Source organism: Homo sapiens, chromosome 9, assembly GCF_000001405.40.
Source record: "Homo sapiens chromosome 9, GRCh38.p14 Primary Assembly".
NCBI lineage: Eukaryota > Metazoa > Chordata > Mammalia > Primates > Hominidae > Homo > Homo sapiens.
In genome coordinates this window covers 62,249,739-62,271,196 of record NC_000009.12, presented here as the reverse complement: position 1 = coordinate 62,271,196, position 21,458 = coordinate 62,249,739, and the positions used below count along the sequence as shown (strand labels likewise).

Here is a 21,458-nt window from a genome sequence, read left to right as displayed (position 1 = left end):
TAATATTATTAATGTGAAATTTCAATGTGCTTAGCAATAAATAATGGGAATAAGAATTATCCAGGATGTACTAAATGCTACAAGAATTATATAAGTCTAATGAACATGATGCTTTTGAACTTAAGTAAATTCTATGTGCTTAACTATTTTTATTGTTTATAGATTTAGGACTTCTGAATGCATTCTTTTTTGCTGTTATGGGATATTATGAATTCACCTTAGTAGACTTTTGCTTACAGGACATAAAATTAATTTATTCTATGAATTTTTTCTTCTTTTCCTAAAAATGTGTAAGTTCTGTGATTTCTTGGACTAAAAGATATCTATTTACATAGTGAAAGGCCAGGCCTTGTAAAGATCGTGACAGTATTCAATCCTATTCTCGTTTTTTTGTTTCAATGTGTTGCTAGTTATCTTATCTCAGTGTATTGTATTTATATAACTGCATATTTGATTAAGATACCTAACCTATGAGACATATTAACATAATGAACACATGTAAGCACACAACCCAATTTAAGCATAAGAACAGTATCAATAATTTTGCAGTTATCTTTCACTCTTTTTCAGTCACACAGAGACAACTATACTCTTAATTTTGTGTTTAGAGTCCTCTATTTTCTTAATAGACAGATTGCACATGGTTAAAGGTCTATGTTTACATCAAGAGAGCCTGTGTCTGGATCTTGTTCACCCCGCTTATGTCTCTTTTGAAGTTATGCTTAAGCTTTATCCCTTGTTCCTTTATGGAAATTTGAGTATTTTAGGAAAAGTAAAAAAAAAAAAAAAAAAGAAACTTTAAAGTAGAATGATAAAATCTAGTGTTTTTAGATACAGAAGTGAGAAGCTGAATACGGGTAAAGCATGATGGACTATGGGAAGAACGGAATTTCTTGTGTGTGACTGCTCATTCAATAAGCTATATTTTTTAAAGACCTGAACAGGTTATAGCTATTGGTTATCTACAAGTGGAATTCTCAAACACGAAAATGAAAGCCTGACAAATAAGATGCTAATGCCATTTTCACTTAAAAAATAGAACAAGCGAAAGAGAGAAATAAAAGCACTAGCCCAGTAAGAACATCTTCTATTTGCCTTACTCATAAGCCATTTCAGGGCCATAGCTGCAAAACTAGGAAGAAACTGCTAAGTGCTAAAACATTTTAACCAATCACTTTAAGAAAGGCAGAGGAAGCAAATCACTCTAGTAGATAAAACAGGAGAGACTGAAGTTGCTATAGTTGTAATCTTTTTAAAAATAATCTATTTGTTTTGAAGAAAACCCCAATAGGAAGGTGTTTTCATTTTTAAAGGTATCTCTCTTCAGATACTATTTAATACTCAATGTGCTAATAATGTCAAAAATTGTTAAATGCGTATATATCTGTATTTCAAATAGGATAGTTTATCAAGTCAGGTTTTCCAAGAAGCTGATACTATGCAATTATAAGTCACTCAAAAGGTTATGAGAGGAACGTTAGTTAAAGATTAAGAAGAAAAAGCAGATCTAAGTGCAGGGAGTCTTCAGTGATGCAAGCCTGGCTTCTGTCAAAGGAGGGGAAGAAGGATGAGAATGAAAGAGTCACAGCCTGAAACACAGTTTAGGAAGTTTTGGCCCGGACAATAGGAGTCTCCAGTCCAAAGTCTTCTGTTGGAAGGTTATCACAAATCTTAAAAATGGCCTTCATCAATACTCCGAGCATGCTCAGTCATTGGCCAGGAACAGCCAGAGAAAATATGGTCTGAGTGCAAAGATAGTCATACAACCAGAAAAACAGTAGCTGGGGCTGCCTGTCATCCATGCTCACTGAAGCAAGAGTTGTGAGTGGTGACCACATATATCAAATATTTCTATGAAAAAAACAAAACAAAACAAAACCCAATCAAGTGAAACTCCAAAATGATAACCTTTAATGCTTATTAGGTGGCACAAGTGTTAGGTTGGGTATTTTACTAAATATTTAATCATTATATATGCACATATTTATGGGCATGTGAGCTTAATTTCTGTTTTTAAATTCAGAATGCTTCAATAATAACATTGCATTTTATATAATCCTGATTTTCTTTTTTAAAATCAGCTCAAAAGGAGAAGTTAAATATTCAGCTTTAATTTCACCAGTAGATTTTTAATGTTTTGTAATCATAATGTTTAATTTGTGCTGTTCTTAGAACTTTAATTATGAAGCTAAATTGTACTAATACCCATTAGGTACTTCTTAATTGAAGGCACATCATATGTCTGATGTGGCAGTACTAATTGGTGTAATTAAATTCTAATATGCTTCAGTAGCCTGATTTTTTTAAGGGAATAAAAAGCTGATAGAAATAAGTCAGCTCTTGAAGCTGCATAGTTGTATAATACATACACGTGTTTGCATTTGTAACATGCACATTTATTCAGAAGAAACAACTCATTAATTTATTCCAAAACCATTTCACCTGATAACTTAAAATACAGAGTAAAACAAATTGGTCAGGTAAATATACATGTAACTTAAAAAGAAACAGTCATGTACTTTAGGCATAAGGACAATGCTTTTCTCTTTTACAAATTCTAAGTTAGGTCAAATTCTCTGAAAGTCACTACCTTTCTTTACTGTGATGTGTTTTCGGTGAAGTTACAGCCTATTTGCAAATCACATCACTGGTTTGTCCAAGCAGAGGTAGATGAGAGGTAAGCTCCTGTCCTGCTAAAAGTCTCCTAAAAACAGCAAGAAAATATTTTTACATGTTCAAAAATGCTCATTTATTTATATTCCTAAATTTTCTTTTACTCAGTATAATATAGATAATTTAAAAATAAGTAGAATATTTTTATTATATATGTTTTATTTTTATACATCTAGTTAAATTAATAGTGGAACATTATATATCTGTTAAATGTTTTAAATTACATGGAATTAAAATATCAAAGTTAATTATGTTATTATAATTTTTAAATTTCAGAAACCTTCTTTAAAATTCTTACTGTTTTATCTTAAAAAATTCATATAGAAATTGTGGTCAGATGTAAACTGTGACTCTGAGCACAAATCCCAATGCTATTGCCAATTAAATTCCAATTTTTGTGTTCACACATGAAATGTAGTTTTTCTTTTATTGAGTTTTAAAAATCTGTAAGATTTACCTATCTGAATATACACTCAGGTCTAGCTTCATGTTCCTGTGACCTCTGTGGTCACACAAGGACCCATGTACATAATGACCTCATACTTGGCCTAATGCTCTGCTGTTGCCATCTTGAAACGCTTAACACTTTGAACGAGGTACAACATCCACTTCATTTTGCACTGGGCCCTGCAAATCACGTAGACAGTCATATATGAGTCCAGTATTTTCCTACCACCAGACATTTTGATGTACTGAAGAGATAAAAAAAAAAACCTAATAATTAGAAGTTTTAAAAGAATTTTTTTTTTTTTTTTGGAAGACTAGAGTTTTATTACTGAAATCAGTCTCCCCCAAAATTTAGAGACTGCATTTTTTTATTTTTTTTTTATTTTTTTATTGATAATTCTTGGGTGTTTCTCACAGAGGGGGATTTGGCAGGGTCATGGGACAATAGTGGAGGGAAGGTCAGCAGATAAACAAGCGCCTCTGCCCGGCCGCCCCTACTGGGAAGTGAGGAGCCCCTCTGCCCGGCCAGCCGCCCCGTCCGGGAGGGAGGTGGGGGTGTCAGCCCCCCGCCCGGCCAGCCGCCCCGTCCGGGAGGGAGGTGGGGGGGGTCAGCACCCCCGCCCGGCCAGCCGCCCCGTCCGGGAGGTGAGGGGCGCCTCTGCCCGGCCGCCCCTACTGGGAAGTGAGGAGCCCCTCTGCCCGGCCACCACCCGGTCTGGGAGGTGTGCCCAACAGCTCATTGAGAACGGGCCAGGATGACAATGGCGGCTTTGTGGAATAGAAAGGCGGGAAAGGTGGGGAAAAGATTGAGAAATCGGATGGTTGCCGTGTCTGTGTAGAAAGAAGTAGACATGGGAGACTTTTCATTTTGTTCTGCACTAAGAAAAATTCCTCTGCCTTGGGATCCTGTTGATCTGTGACCTTACCCCCAACCCTGTGCTCTCTGAAACATGTGCTGTGTCCACTCAGGGTTAAATGGATTAAGGGCGGTGCAAGATGTGCTTTGTTAAACAGATGCTTGAAGGCAGCATGCTCGTTAAGAGTCATCACCAATCCCTAATCTCAAGTAATCAGGGACACAAACACTGCGGAAGGCCGCAGGGTCCTCTGCCTAGGAAAACCAGAGACCTTAAAAGAATATTTTTAAGAGTTGTTGTTTGTTTGTTTGTTTTTTAATCCTAGATGTCTCAAGCTTGCCTTCCATTAGATAATGCAGTAAGGAACCCCCAGTTTACAACACAGGGCAGGCAGGAAGACAACCAACTCAATGGGATCTCTGTCCTGTGCAGTCATCACCAGCTGATCCTTCTTTTTCTCCGCTAAGGTGGTGACAGCGTTAACCCCCATTAAAAGGACAGGTGATCTCTCAGTGGGGATGTCTCCTTTGCTTTCTTCTCAGCCCAGGCCAACAGTCTCTGCTGCTTCTCTTGCTTTGTCTCTGGTCTGTACTTGCCAGCCAGCTTACCCCATTGAGCAGCTGTTTGGTGGTCCAAGGCCCTGGTGAACTGACTAATCACAGAAGGCACTTCTAGCTGCTTATAGAGGATGGCTCTCTGCTGCTGCAACCTAGTATAATGGGGCCATTTGACAAAGCAAGTGAGGTCCCTTTTGGGCTGGATGTTCTGTCCAATGCCAAAATGTCCTGTCCAGTGCCAAATTTCTCAAATGGAAGATTCACCACTTTCATGGTCTCCTGCTTTTTCAAGACCGCAAGGGTCAGCACCACCTTCTTCCCTTTGGCCTTCTTTCTTTTTCGCACCTTGGGTAGCTGGAGAACAGAATAATAAGATCTTGAGAGAAAAATAAGTTGAAGCCAGAGGTAAAACTGAATATTGGTAATATCTTTTTGTTTTAGGGTTGCTTTCCATTTTAGAAAGTAATTCAGAGTGTTATTTTTTAAAAATCATATATCAGAGTTCTCTAATAAATTTCAAACTTAAAAGAACATTTAACTTCATAAGAGAAGAGAAATGTTTCATGAACATATTTTAAAGATAGGGAAACTAGAATACAATTTGGAGTAAAACTAATATTTTAAGTAACCTGGAGATAGGACTCATATCTTTTAATAGAACATGCATTCTAACAAGCCAGTGATTTTTCAAAGTTTTCTAAAACACTTTTCTCAAACCACATTTAACCTAGAAGTAGAAACAAATAAAAGACACAAAATTAGAGTTAATTTTATTGTAACTGGGTTGGCTCCAGAGATTATAGTTAGGAAGTGATTACATTAAGCTCTACATATGCAGCATTCTAGCAAATTTCAATGCAGTAGACAAAATCTATAAATAATGTGAAACACATATTAACATGTTAAGCATAATATGCATTCATTGTCTTCAACAGAATAGTTCTCTATTAATTTTTTAAATGTAATACAATTTTACTTTAAAAACACTGAAAAATCAACATATTTCATTAAGAAAAAATTATAAATGTTGCAAAATGATGATGAAAATATGTATAGTAATAATTCCCAACTATAACAATTTTGTTTTATCTAATACTGGTCAGCTTTCCATGTGTCCAAGCATTACAGGACTTTTCATTAAGCCTAATCCTCACAAGAACATTGCTTTGAGCGATGTTCCAGAGTGGTAGTCCTTTAAGGCATTAGAACGATTTGTGAAATCCCTAAAAATACTAGGGGAAATATTCAAAAAATGACAATAGTGCCATTATTCCTCCTCCTCAAAGAGACTATCAGAACTAAAACTCTTTGCTTCATGTTCCTGTTTACTTCTGTCACTTTCAAGTCACAGAGGTATTATCAGACTGTCATCATTGTATGACTCTGCTTTTCCAACAGAATCAATTACCTATCCCTTATCTCACAACTTGATAGTGATAGATATTGAATGCTTATGTTCTGATTAGCAAACTCTTTTTGCATTTTTAATAACAACTTGAACTCCTGATATGTCTGGAAAATATAACCCCTTCAACAGCCCTTTCAATGGGTTGCTACTATTTTGCTCACCCCATCTTCACCTGCCTAATCATGAGGAGGCGGGGTATATACAATTTCAGTTAATTTGTAGTTATCAGTCTATTATAGTTCTTTCCTTCTGAAAACCAACAAGTAAATAAACCAGCAAGCATCACCAATAAACTTTGACAGTTTATGGTTCATAACGTACGTCTACACCAAACTTTCCATTCAAATGCTTTTTCAAACCTTTGTTTGGTTTCTTTCTCTATTAAGACAACTTTTGCTTTTGGCTTTCAAAGACATTCTCTCCATTATAAACTCTGTCGTTATTCTCTATTGTGCTTACCTCAAACTGGTAACTCTTTCAAATCTTACCTGTCAGTTTCTTGACCACCATGCATGTTAATAACATTTCTTCTCTATTTTAGACAGCAAATGTTTCTCAATATTAAAAAAAAAAAAAAATCCTACTCTTTGGTCCTCTCTACCTCCCATTTCATCCAATATCGCTTGTTCAAGACCTGAACTCGTACAGGTTTTTAACCTGTTGAAGACTGTCACTCTATGGACTCTACTCTCTTCTCTCTCCTCCATAGCCTTCTCATTGCCTATCTTCCCTACTTGTCCAGGAAATGATGACATGTTTCATCACTATAATTAATCCATTTCAAATGGCCTTTATGCCAAATGATTTTATTATATACTCTTTCTGTGCCATGCCTTGTTTTCCAAATTTACCACAGTACAAATTTTACAATTAGTTTTCCATTACTGAATTAGTACCAATCTCTGTCTTAAAAAATAAATACAGTAAAAAATGATAATGAATTTATTTCTTCTTATAATACTATCACTGGTGCATGGTTAGAATAAATTAATCTTAGGATGATATAAGCATTTCTCCAAATGGTCTTCAAATTCATTGATTTTTTTGTGATTTCAATTTCCATATTTATTGTTCCTGTTGCAATTTTTTCAGATTTTATATGTATTAACTCAGAACACATACCTCTTATCACACATATTTTTTCATGTAATTTATCTAAATCTTATAGAAAAGGGTACATTTGCATTTTCTCTTATTAGACTCCTGATTTCAAATAATATATTACTTATGAGTATTTTTCTGTGCTGTAGTTATTCATTCTCATAGATATGTAACATAATTCCTTTTGCAAAGGTAAAAATTGAGCTATCTCTTGTTGAGGATTTGTTGATCTCTGTCTAAAGTTTCAAAAATAAGAACTTTAAAAGCAAAATGTAAATTCCTTTCAAGTTTTAGTAAAATTACTTCAAACTTAGTAGCTTAAACAATACAGATTTATTATGTTACAGTTCTGTAAGACAGAAATCTGACTTGATCACACCATGGTAAAACCAAGATACTGCCAGGGTTGGTTTTTTCTTGGGGGGGGGTCTGTGGGAAGAGTTTGTTTCCTTTGGTTTTCCACAGCCCAGAGGCTGCTTGCTCCTTTGATCACTGTCCCTTCCTCCATTTTTAAAATGAGGAATGGAGTCAGGGTGACTATGGTTAGCAATATTGTATTGTATATTTCAAAATAGCTAGAAGAGAGGATTTTTGAATTCTCTCACCGTAAAGATATCAAAGATGTATGAAGTGAAGAATATGTTGAATATCCTGATTCAATATTTAAACTATACATACACGTGTTGAAACATCACACTGTATCCCATAAATATGTACAATAATTATGTGTCATAAAACAAGATTTAAATTGTTTTAAAGGGCCAGCAATGGCAGTTTGTGAGTTCCCATCTCATCACTCTAACTTCTTCTGCCTCCTTCCACTTGTAAATGTCCTTCTGATTATTTTGGTCCCATCAGGATAATCCAGAATAACTTTCCTATCTTAATATCAACTGACGAACAACCTTAGTTTAGTCTACAATTTCAATTTTCCTTTGCCATGCAACTAACATATTCACAAATTCTGGGGACTAGAATGTGGACACCCGTTGTATTAGTTTGTCCTCACACTGCTAATAAAGACACAGCTGAGACTGGGTAATTTATAAAAGAAAGAGGTTTAACTGACTTATAGTTCCACATGGCTGGTGAGCCCTCAAAATCATGGTGGAAAGCGAATGAGAAGCAATGTTGCATCCCACGTGGTGGCAGGCAAGAGAGCTTGTGCAGGAGAACTCCCGTTTATAAACCCAGCAGATCTCGTGAAACTTATTTACTACCACAAGAACAGCATGGGATAAACCTTCCCCATGATTAAATTCTCTCTACCTGACCCCATTCTTCACATGGAATTATTACAATTCAAGGTGAGATTTGGGTGGGGATACAGCCAAATCACATCATTTGTGGAGAGCTGTGATTCTGCCTACCACAAGTAAGATGTACAAAGCATGGAAGGAGCTACAGCCAGAAACAATTATACCATTGGGAATTTCTAGCAGAATAAATAGCAGTTATTAACTGATAAGTTAATAGATTAAGTAAACCTAAATAATTGCCTTCATTAGCAGCGAGGCTTTTGATGGTCCATGTATCACAGATATTTAAACACAAATACATTTTTCTCATTTATTCCAATAACAAAGTGTTTTTTGGTTTGTTTTGTTTTGTTTTTGAAAGTTTGGTATGAGAGAGAAAGAGATGAGCTGATTTGACTACTCCAGGCTAGAGGATATGTAGCTGAGAGTCTATGGCTGAGTGGAGGAAAAAAAAAAATCACAAGCCCTGTCCAGGATAACAGAGAGAGAAAGCTGTTTCTGTTGAGATTTGATGGCCCCCATCACACCAAATTTGGGCTTCTAGCTAGCCTCAGTTCTTCAGATAACTGACCTTCCTTCTTTCCTCCCTCTTGTAATAGTCTTTGTGTATTAGAAGTACCTTGAAATGCTGGGTCAGAAAATGTGGCACGAAAGAGAAAAGCTGGCTCACTCCACATCTTGACCTGATCATTTCCTGAACATGATTGAGGTGGATGACTCTTTGCTCCTCTTTGGCTGACCTGCAGGAATAACATTGGGAATAAGCAAATCTCCTTTGGACTCCAGAGGGTGGTGGTCAGGAAGTGGGCCATTGAGAACCTAGGTGGAAATGCAGGCCAGATTATTGGAGTAGTTTGCTTTATAATGTTAAAATATTTATACACATGTTATGTGGGCCTCTATTTCCACTCTTATCTTAGAGCCCACACGTATTATGGAGGGTCTAGCAGTGTTTGTGGAGTTTTTGGTACTATACCTTTTTCAAGATAAAGTAAAAAACATTTATGGATAATTTAATTGTTCCCTATGTAGATTCCAGTGCCAAATTCCTCTCTTAGACACTGTTTCTAGTATAACATGTTAATATGTGACCCCTGTTTCACTTACAGATTTTTAGAGATCTATCCCAGGTTACTTAATTCAACTCCAAGACATACTTTTCTTTTAAATGCAGGGAATAAAGGGTCAGTTACTTAGTTACTCCGGTTTTATTTAATCCTACTGTCATCTGACAATATGGTACTGATACTATTTCCTATTTCTAGATGGTTGCTAGAAATATACTGTAATATTTATTCTTGATATATGTTTGTTACTTTAACGGGAATACATAGGCTATAAATAGTCCCCTTGCCTCTCACAAGTTAGACAGTCCTGCCCAGAATGCCCTGCTGAAGAGTTGTAGCAGATCACCCTGTTCCTCCTTAACCTCTCTGTTCCTCATATGCTCACCTGTAAAATAGTGATCATAGTAACACCCATCTTGTGATGATGTAGAGAGGTTTAAAGAAGCAAATTAGGGGAGGCCAGGCATGGTGGCTTATGCCTGTAATTCCAGCACTTTGGGAGTCCAATCACTTGAAATCAGGAGTTCGAGACCAGCCTGGCCAACATGGTGAAACCCACTTCTACTAAAGCAAACAAACAAACAAACAAAAAACACAAAAATTAACTGGGCATTGTGGCAGTTGCTTCTAATCCCAGCTACTTGGTTGGCTGAGGCAGGAGAATCCGCTGGACCCAGGAGGCGGAGGTTGCAGTGAGCCGAGGTCACACCACTGCACTCCAGCTTGGGTAACAGAGCAAGGTTTTGTCTCAAAAAAAAAAAAAAAAAGAAAGAAACCAATTAGGGTGGAAACACTTAGAGCAGGGTGTTCATAAGTTGTCACCCTCTTGAAGCAATTGTTGGACACTATTTTAAAAATGTTTTACTTCTGAGTGAAATGTTGCATTTTATTTTACTGGAAGATTCTTATGTAGTTTAAGTACATTTTACGGTATTGTCAAAGAGCATGAGCAAAATATTTAGGAAAGATGAGACCATATTTCTTTTATTTATGACATTGCCACAAAAAATCAGGTAGATGAATTTGTATTAAGTTTTTGTACCAATTTCATATCTAAAATTTCAAAGAATTTTATTGCAACAAACTCTTTCTTACCATTAACTCAAAAAAATTCTGTTTTAAATTGACTTCATTCCATAAGTCTCTACACTACTAATTTGGCCAGAAGTTATTTTCAATCCTAATTGGGAACAACAAAGATCCACATGATATCCTTTCAATTTATGATGTTGAAGAAAGTTGAATTGTAATAATTTGAGTGTGCAGTCAAAGCAATTTTCAATACTATGTATCACTGTAGAAACAAGGGAGAATGTCTTGGTTAACTATTTAAGTGGCTTGAGTATGGCAATTAAAATTTCATCTAAGCTCATTTTGATGAATCTTGAAGGTGACATTTATTTCTTATGCTCTGAACATCGTAAGTTCTGTTGATTTTTATGGGAAGTTTTCAAGGTCATTTTCAGAGATCTATGACAAAATGACATTATTTGAGAAAAAAAAGAAGAAATAGCTCGAAGTTTAAAGCATTATGGTATTCCCTAAGCCCAAAATTTTCTCCCTTTACAAAAACAAATGAAAGGCAAAATAGACAAACAAAGAAACCATCAAAAATACCTTGAATCACTGTTGGTGGGAATGAAAATTAGTTCGACCATTGTGGAAGACAGTGTGGAGATTCCTCATGGATCTAGAATCAGAAATCCCATGACCCAGTAGTCACATTACTTGGTATATACCCAAAGGAATATAAATCATTCTATTATGAAGACACATGCACACATATGTTTATTGCAGCAGCTATACTACTTATTATAGCAAAGACATGGAACCAACCCAAATGCCCATCAGTGATAGACTAGATAAAGAAAATGTGGTACATATACACCATGGAATACTATGCAGCCATCTAAAGAACTAGATCATATCCTTTGTAGGAACATGGAAACCACCATCCTCATCAAACTAACACAGGAACAGAAACCCAAACACCTCATGTTCTCACTCATAAGTGAGAGTTGATCAACGAGAACACATTGACACAGGGAGGGGAACAACACACAGTGGGGCCTGTTGGGGCGTGGGGGGAAAGGGGAGGGAGAGCATCAGGACTGATATCTAATGCATGCAGCTTAAAACCTAGATGATGGTTTGATAGGGGCAGCAAACCACCATGGCACATGTATACCTATGTAACAAACCTGCAAATTCTGCATATGTATCCCAGAAATTAAAGTAAAATAAAATAAAATAATAAAAACAACAACAAAATGTACCTTGAATCTCCAAAATAAGTTAAGACAAATAGTTAAAATTGAGCATGCTTTTATTAGAAGAAGAAAATGTCATTGACAATATAACAGATAATTTATAGATGGGAACATACGTAAAAACGTATAAGTACTTAGATCTGCTAGATAAAGTGAGTCCCAAATGATAAGGTTACAAAAATAATGTTTTTTTGTAGAATATGTGTTTTCAATGAGAAAGTGTTGCAAAAGTCAGTCATACAGATTGGTAACTTTTATGTTTATTTTTCAAAAGCAGCTCAAAATAGTTCTTTAGATTCTGTAACACCACGGTGTCCTAATTTTGCTCCTAAAATTTTGTCACAAAAGTTTAAATTCACTTGCAAATTGATCTTCATTTAATCTTCCTCTAGGTGTGTAAGCTAAATCAGAGATCTGCATGAACTGCTTATTACTCTTTCATGCTATACATTCTCCCTAGGTAATTTTGATCACTGCAATCTTTTCCATCATCATTTCTACTTGAAGACTAACTAATATAGGTAGAACAAATTTCAACTTCTAGACCTATATGCTTTCCAGATATCTCAAATAAAAGATAAAATTTGGGGAGATATACCATGTTCATGATTTTGAAATAGTCAAGACTGTGTGATATTGTCCTCAAGAAAGACTAAATAGATCAACAGAACAGAATAGAAAATACAAAAACAGATTTATACATATAGTTAAAATCTTTTTTTTTAAATAGCAAGTCAATTCATCAGGGAAAGTATCAGCTTTGAAGAAATGGAAGAGTTTTCAAAGCAAGAAATGTAAAACAGTTGGGTATTTATAAGCAATAGAAAAACAAATTTGATTCATAGCTTGCAAAATATATAAACATTAATAAAAAGCCAACCTGAATGTATTGAAATCTTAGATATAAACATAAGATAAATCTTTGTGACCTTAGTTGAAACAAATAAGTGCTGTATATGACATTAAACATTTAATATGTAAAATAAAATATTAACTTGAACTTCTTCAAAAGTGAAAATTTTTACTCTTTTTTAAAAATTATTATACTTTAAGTTCAGAATGTGCAGAATGTGTAGGTTTGTTACATAGGTATATACATGCCATGGTGGTTTGCTGCACCCTTCAACCCATCATCTATTTTAGGTATTTCTCCTAATGCTATCCCTCCCCAAGCCCCCCACCCCCTGACAGGCCCCAGTGTGTGATGTTCCCTTCCCTGTGTCCATGTGTTCTAATTTTTCAGCTCCCAATTATGAGTGAGAACATGCGGTGTTTGGTTTTCTGTTCCTGTGTTAGTTTGCTGAGAATGATCATTTCCAGCTTTATCCATGTCCCTGCAAAGGACATGAACTCATCCTTTTTTATGGCTGCATAGTGTTCCATAGTGTATATGTGCCACATTTGCTTTATCCAGTCTATGATTGATGGGCATTTGTGTTGGTTCCAAGTCTTTGCTATTGTGAACAGTGCTGCAATAAACCTACGTGTGCATGTGTCTTTATACTAGAATGATTCATAATCCTTTTTCTATTTAGTAATGGGATTGCTGGGTCAAACGGTATTTCTAGTTCTAGATCCTTGAAGAATCACCACACTGTCTTCCACAATGGTTGAACTAATTTACACTTTCACCAACAGTGTAAAAGTGTTCCTATTTCTCCACATCCTCTCCAGCATCTGTTGTTTTCTGACTTTTTAATGATCACCATTCTAACCAGAGTGAGATGGTATCTCATTGTGGTTTTGATTTGCATTTCCCTAATGACGAATGATGATGAGCTTTTTTTTCACATGTTTTTTGGCCGCATAAATGTCTTCTTTTGAGAAGTGTCTGTTCATATCCTTTGACCACTTTTCGATGGGGTTGTTTGTATTTTTTCTTGCAAATTTGTTTAAGTTCTTTGTAGATTCTGGATATTAGCCCTTTGTCAGATGGATAGATTGCAAAAATTTTCTCCCATTCTGTAGGTTGCCTGTTCACTCTGATGATAGTTTATTTTGCTGTGCAGAAGCTCTTTAATTTAATTAGATCCCATTCATCAATTTTGGCTTTTGTTGCCAATGCATTTGATGTTGTAGTCATGAAGTTTTTGTCCATGCCTATGTCCTGAATGGTATTGCCTAGGTGTTCTGCTAAGGTTTTTATAGTTTTAGGTCTTATGTTTAAGGCTTCAATCCATCTTGGGTGAATTTTTGTATAAGATGTAAGGAAGGGATCCAGTTTCAGTTTTCCACTACCCAGTTTTCCCAATACCATTTATTAAATAGGGAATCCTTTCCCCATTGCTTGTTTTTGTCAGGTTTGTCAAAGATCAGATGGCTGTAGATGTGTGGCTTTATTTCTTAGGCCTCTGTTCTGTTCTGTTGGTCTACATAACTGTTTTGGTACCAGTACCATGCTGTTTTGGTTACTGTAGCCTTGCAGTATATTTTAAAGTCAGGTCGCATGATACTTCCAGCTTTGTTCTTTTTGCTTAGGATTGTCTTGGCTATACAACCTCTTTTTTGGTTTTGTATGAAATTTAAAGTAGGTTTTTCTAATTCTGTGAAGAAAGTCAATGGTAGTTTGATGGGGATAGCATTGAATTTATAAATTACTTCAGCAGTATGGACATTTTCATATTGATTCTTCCTATCCATGAGCATGGAATAGTTTGCCATTTGTTTGTGTCCTCTCCTATTTCCTTGAACAGTGGTTTGTAGTTCTCCTTGAGGAGATCCTTCACATCCCTTGTAAGTTGTTTTCCTAGGTATTTTATTCTCTTTGTAGCAATTGTGAATAGGAGTTCACTCATGATTTGGCTCTCTGTTTGTCTGTTGTTGTTGTATAGGAATGCTTGTTATTTTTGCACATTGATTTTGAATCCTGAGATTTTGCTGAAGTTGCTTATCAGCTTAAGGAGATAAGCTGAGACGATGGGGTTTTCTAAATATACAATCTTGTCATCTGCAAACAGAGACAATTTGACTTCCTCTCTTCCTGTTTGAATACGCTTTATTGCTTTCTCTTGCCTGATTGCCTTGGCTAGAACTTTCAATACTATGCTTAATAGGAATGGAAAAGGGCATTTAAAAATAATTTTTTAAAAACTATGAACTGAGAAAACATTTGAATAGCATATATCTTATTGGCCAAGAAAGGTTTATCTCATCAGGACTAATGTTTGTCTTTAGAACTGGCACTTGGCTGGCTTTTGGAAGATAACCTGTGGGCCCTTAATATATTCTGCCTGTTGACAGTGTTTCTATACATCTTTGGCTTTAGAGTACAGTGCACAAGTGGTTTTCAGCGTCTGAGGCCTTGGACCATGCTGTGCTCATTTGAACAGATAAGCTTATCCTAACAATATAATTTAGAGTCAATGGCTATATTTTCTCTGACAGATGCTGTAGTCTGAGTAGCTGAAATCACTCATATAGGCACCACCTTACATGACTGATGCCCAGTAAAAGCCCTGGAGACCAAAACTTAAATGAGCTTCTCTGATTGACAACACTTCAATATGCTGTCAAATATTGTTGCTGGGAGAATTACGTGTGTTCTTATGGGATTCCACTGGGAGAGGACACCTGAAAGCTTGTACCTGATATCTTCTACATTTCTCCCCATGGGCTTTTTTTCTTTGTTGATTTTAATCTGTATCTTTTCATTGTAGTAAACTGTAACTATGAATGTAATGTGTTTTCTAAGACCTGTGAATCATTATAGTTAATCTTTGAGCCTAAGGGTGGTCATAAGGAGCCCCAACACACTAATAAATTACTTTCATAAAGAATATATAAAAGCTGTCAAAAATCAAAAATAAAACAAATCACCCAATTTTTTAAAAGGCAAAAGATTGAAAAAGACGTCATGATAGAAGACATGGATGACAAATAAGTATATCAAAAAATTTTAACATCTGTAGTCATTAAAGAATTGAAAACCACAAAGAAATACTACTGATAGTTATTACAATGTCCAAAGTGAAAAAAAATATTGACCCTACCAGGTATATGCAACAAAATGGAGGAACTGAAACGTTAATATACTTTTGATTGACAACCACTTTGTAAAATAGATAGATTGACAGCTTCTTAAAAAAGTAAACCTATGCTTACCACTTAATCTAGTCATTTATCTTCTAGATATTTCCCCCTCGAAAAATGAAAAAGAAATTGTTGTATATAAATATTCATAGGCATTTTCTCTTTAATAGCTAAAATGTGGTCATGACCCACATATTCATTAACAAGTAATTGGTGATATATACGTACAGCAAAATTCTGCTCAGCAATAAAAAGGTTCGACTACTGACACATGCAACAACATGAATGAATTTCAAAAGAATTTTGCTGTAAAGCAAAAATGCCAGCCAAAAAATAGTGCACCTTATATGATTCCATTTATATAAAACTTCTGGATGCACCAATATACAATATACAGTAATATACAATACTGAAAGATGGTCAGCAGTTGTCTAGCTAAGATGCTTATTAGGAGAGACAATAATTGCAAAAGGGGATTATTAAAAGTAGTCATGAGGAAACATTTTGTGGATTTATATGTTCACTATCTTGACAATAATGATGATCTCACGGATGTATAAATATGTCAGAGCATATCTAATAATTTATCTTACATATTTTTGGCTTTTAATATGTTAATTATAGCTCAATAAATTTCTTAAAAACTCATTGGACTCTATCTGTAATGTGTGTATGTTTAGTTTTAAGTAGAGTGCAGCTAAATTTTTCTCCACCATTACAATTTTCAAACATACTTTCACTTACAGAATAGCATACTGAAAATTAACACATGCTTTTATAATTATAAATAAAATAGTAATATATCATTTCTGCTGAAATAAATGCAAACCAATTACAAGGAATTTATTAGTTTTTATTTTAGTTACTTCATATATATTAGCATCTAAGCCTCAAAGATTCACTATGTAATTGTGTAAATTAGTAGTAGGGTTACCTGAATCTGGCTTAATAGTGAATTAATCAGTATTTATCTTTAAACATTTTTTCCTTTATGAATTGTGTCACACTTTTAAAGAGCCCTTCCTACATTACAAGCATGTATAAAATATATTCTTATACTATTTTAGAATAATTTCAGAAGTTAGATTGTTTTCTAGATTTAGTGTTTTCATTGATACCAAATTTATTTTTATGTACATAAATGTATGATTTTAAGTTAGATTATTTCAAACTGGTATCCCTGCAATTATCTGAACAAAAATTTTTTTTTTTTTTTTTTTTTTTTTTTGAGACGGAGTCTCGCTCTGTCGCCCAGGCCAGACTGCGGACTGCAGTGGCGCAATCTCGGCTCACTGCAAGCTCCGCTTCCCAGGTTCACGCCATTCTCCTGCCTCAGCCTCCCGAGTAGCTGGGACTACAGGCGCCCGCCACCGCGCCCGGCTAATTTTTTGTATATTTAGTAGAGACGGGGTTTCACCTTGTTAGCCAGGATGGTCTCGATCTCCTGACCTCATGATCCACCCGCCTCGGCCTCCCAAAGTGCTGGGATTACAGGCGTGAGCGACCGCGCCCGGCCCAACAAAATTTTTAAGTAGTCACATTGACTTTTTTTTCAAAAGTTAGTTTTAAGCTATTTGATAACATATGGATCTACTTCACTAAAGTTGTATTTTTGTGTGTAATTCTTTAATCCATCTGGAGATATTTTGGTTGTTTTTCGATCAGATAGCCAGTTAAACCAGAAAGAAAAATCTTACCAAAAAGTTTCCACTTAGAAAATTTAATAGCCAAAAAAACTAATATATGCAAGAATGAACAAAAACATATTGATAAAAGTTATACATCATATTTTTATTGAAATATTTCATAATGAAATGTTTCACATGGTTAAAGAACTACAAATTCATCCAGTGTAAATAAAAACTTCATGGGAAATGTATAATATATGAGGGATTATTTGATATCTGAAAAAACTAGATAGAAAATAAATGCTTAAAAACTTCTAGAAGGTAATCCAGTAGAGTATTTATCAGCTTAGGCTAACAAATGATATAAACATGATTAAAGAAGAGCTAAACTTGAATAAAAATATTAAGTTGATGACAAGTGTAAAACACCATTCTTCAAAATATGCAATTACAAATAGGAAAGTGCTAATAGGAGAAAAAATAAGATGTTTATAATGCAAAAAGTATTAACATTCAAAACTGTTGATAATATAAAGAAAGATATTATAAGGAAAAGTATTCCAGTATTAGAGTAGCCTAAGTATAAGGCAATTTGAAGAAAGAAAAGAGGAATCATGAATAGGTTTATCAATCCTGATTCCATCTCACCAGTGATTAGACTGGTAAATAAGAAAATGTGTGATAATACCAAGGGTAATAAAGATATATTTCATTTACATTTACAGTGCTGGTAAACATACACTGTACAACCACTTTGGAGAAAACTTGGAAGTACCTAAAATGTGAAAATGCACAGTTGCTCTTGATCCAGCAAGGGTACCTCTGAGTATATATTGTGGAAAAATTCTCACACATGCATACACAGTGAAACATGTAAGAGTGCTTATAGCAGCAGTGTTGGGATTTTCTTTAAACCCTAGATTTGACCTATATATCTATCAGTAGAGAATCAAAATATAATTCAAGCTATTGTTATACAGTGGGATATAGTACATCACTGATAATTAATACAAATTAATATTACGAACCACTCAAGTTTGAATCAAATATTAGGTCATGGTATAATGAAATTATAAAACTATTTAGAGTTAAAAACAGGCAAAAATGTCACATTTATTTTAGAATTCATAATTGAATAGTAGAAGAAAGTAAAAATGCATAGGAATCATCAACATGAAACACAGGAAAAATAAATGAAACATAGGCAGGTGATTATCTGCAGAGCAAGAAAGTAGAGTTTATTAAGGAGGGCAGTATGAGAACTATCTAAGATATTTTAGGATAAGAAGCGGTTTTGTGAATTTGAATTCATTAAATAACGCTTTCTATTTTGTTTTGTTATTCATCATTTAACATTTTTTTAAAAAATATAAAGAATTCTCATAAGTATTTTTAAACTAGAAGACAAATAAGTGGAATGAAACATCTAAATGTCAAATTTTGGTGTGTACTTCCTATTAATTTCTAAGCAGGGACACCTGGCAAGCAGAAATAACTCTGAGGACATGTGGGATTTTGAATTTTTGGACACCTCTGTAAAGTTATTTGGCAAGCAATAATAATAGCTACCACTTATTTATCAAGTGTTTACTAATGTACTAAGCATTGCCATATATGGTTTATTACTTCTATCCTATTTAGTATTCAAATCAATATGATGTCTATTTTTGTTCTGTTTTAAAAATAAAGAAGCTAACATGTCCAAGCCACATATTTAGTAAGTATTGGAACTACATCAAAACAAGAAAGAAACATTTCAATGGTTTATCCTACTGTCTACTTCCTAAAGGAAAATTATAAATTTACAGTAACTGATCCAAATACATTTCCAGAGTTACTTTAGCTTTCACAGTGTTGGCCAGCACAATGTGTTTTTTGTTTGTTTGTTTGCTTGCTTCCTTGTTTTTTAATTGAGAACATTCCCATAGTTGACTATTTCAATATTTAATTCTCCAATCTTGTATTTTTGGTTTATCTTGATAAACATCAAATAAGGTGGAGGCAGTTTACACTGAATAGACTTAAGAAGCTGATCTTCACAAGAAAGTTCAGATGCTTCATTTTACCACAATTTCTCCACTGCTTAGTTTTATTACACCTAGTCCATATCATGCATTTGGGTTACTTGCCTGGCTCATCTATGACAGAAAAGAAGGAAAGGAGAAAGGAAGCAAAAGAGAATAAAGAACCTAAATAAATGCTATTCATCTATTCAGAGCTGTTTCAAAAAATTAAGTGAATGTTTTCTTCAGTATTCTCAGTCAAATCTTGCTTCATACTTATTATAAATACCCTGAAGGAGTCATACCAATGTGTTCTCTGTAAATGCCATGAACAACACTTTGTTTTTGTATAACGGTTTTCATGACTATTGTATTAATAGCACATTCAATAATATTTCAATAGGTCAAAATTATGTCATATGTTTTCTTACAAATTTTTGTCATTTTTTAGAATTAATGCTACAGCCCAGAAAATAAATATTATTATGAAAGCTTGTTTGTAAAAAATTTCAGTAATTTTATATCTTTTTGGTAAGATTAGTGGCTTCTATTGTATATATTTACAATGGATATCAATGTTGATATTGAGTTATCCAATCTAATATTCTTAATAGCTCCAGCTTGAACTATGAATGGTAGATGACTATGTTCTGTACGTATACCAATATGAGTATTTTTCTATGTTAAAGATTTTACTAGAATCCTTAAATAAACCATAATCATCTAATATGATTTTCTGCTGGAATTTATATAATTTATTATCATAAAAATATATTGAATTGCTCAGATAAAAATTTTAACTTCTATAAATCTTAATATATAAAAATATGGTCTTCTTCAACAAATTGACATTGCAAATTGGTTTAGAATATCCTTAAATAATTATAGTTTTATTTTCAAATAAGCTACTTTTGCAAATTGTTATCATTTTTAACTTAACTTTTGTGTTTTGTTTTTTGTTTGTATTTATGTCTTCCCCAAATGTCCTCTTTTTTTATGCAAATGTAGAGAAGGCAGACACCTAGAATTCCATCCTAGAATTAAGACGTGACAATAAACTTTGATTTTGTGAGTGCATTGTACGCTGACCTAATAGAAGATGAAAAGTGGAAAAATTTGCACAATGAGTTCAAGAACTCTGAGGAAAAGTATTCAAACAGTCTAGTTAAGAAAACCTTATTAAGTGGAAATTTCATACCAAACAAGGCTGCACAGCTTGGAAAAGCCCTGCACTTAAAATTAACTTCAGCCGGTGATGTGCTGAGGCTCTTGACTCAAGTACAGGCACACGGGCTGGCTATGATTTGGAGAAACATGGTAAGTCATATGAATGTTAGTTGATAACTAATTTTATTGTTCATGTGCGGAGGACATAGGGTCAAATGTGCCCCAAGAAGACCTCGAGAAAATATATGTGGCTCTGGATACAGACCTCATGTGACAAAAGGAAGCAATAACCAGGAAAGACTGATTCTCTCTGCTTATCATTTAGAACAATCAAAATAAGTTTGAAATGAAAAAAACTCCAGGGGTTTTGAAATTATTAAACTGGCATGTACATACTAAAAGGGAGCCAATAAGGAATTTACTACTAATAGGGCATGGGGGAAAGCAGATCCAAAGTTCTAATTAATGTTTTAAAATGATGGTATCCATTTGCCAGTTTTAAGATAAGTCCATACTGCTGAAAATTGCTCTATGTTTCTTACCACATTTATCTATGTCAGCATTTATTTTACTTCTAAATTTAATTACAATTTTTAAATTCCATTATACAAGTTATCTCACATTTAACTATTTGTTACCTTTCCTTCTCATCTTACAATATTACTTCTCTACCTGTCAAACTATATACAGTCCAGTTCCTATTCCAATTATGGCTATAATTGCAGTACAATTAATCAATTAATTAACAAAGCATAGCAAAAAATCAAAAGAACTTTAAAAAATTATGTATAATTGTGATCAATGTGGATGTTTTTAAATATGTTCAACTATTTATACTATTTTCCTTCTCAAAGAATCATCAGAATGCTGAACACATAAAATAAACATTGGATAAATTAAAAATAATTTTTCATTCTAAACAATCTAAAGTAATTTAAGTATAGTTCCTATTTAGACTTAACCATAACACTTTGAAAAACTTGAAAGAATTC

General features: G+C 34.2%; 1 long non-coding RNA gene and 1 pseudogene across 3 annotated transcripts in view; one reads left to right on the top strand and one right to left on the bottom strand.

Annotated features, from left to right (window-relative positions):
- The window catches only part of LOC105379263 (uncharacterized), a 104,681-nt gene extending 83,248 nt beyond the window's left edge, over positions 1-21,433 (top strand). For 2 of the 3 annotated variants that reach the window (XR_007061529.1, XR_007061530.1), the window contains one exon: positions 15,024-17,997. This is a non-coding gene — a long non-coding RNA (uncharacterized LOC105379263). Of the gene's footprint in view, positions 1-15,023; positions 17,998-20,307 lie in introns of those variants that run through there. The other variant, XR_007061527.1, reaches the window with a different exon arrangement.
- Positions 4,299-4,896, bottom strand: RPL7AP76 (ribosomal protein L7a pseudogene 76; annotated as a pseudogene).
- Positions 21,434-21,458: the final 25 nt, after the last annotated feature.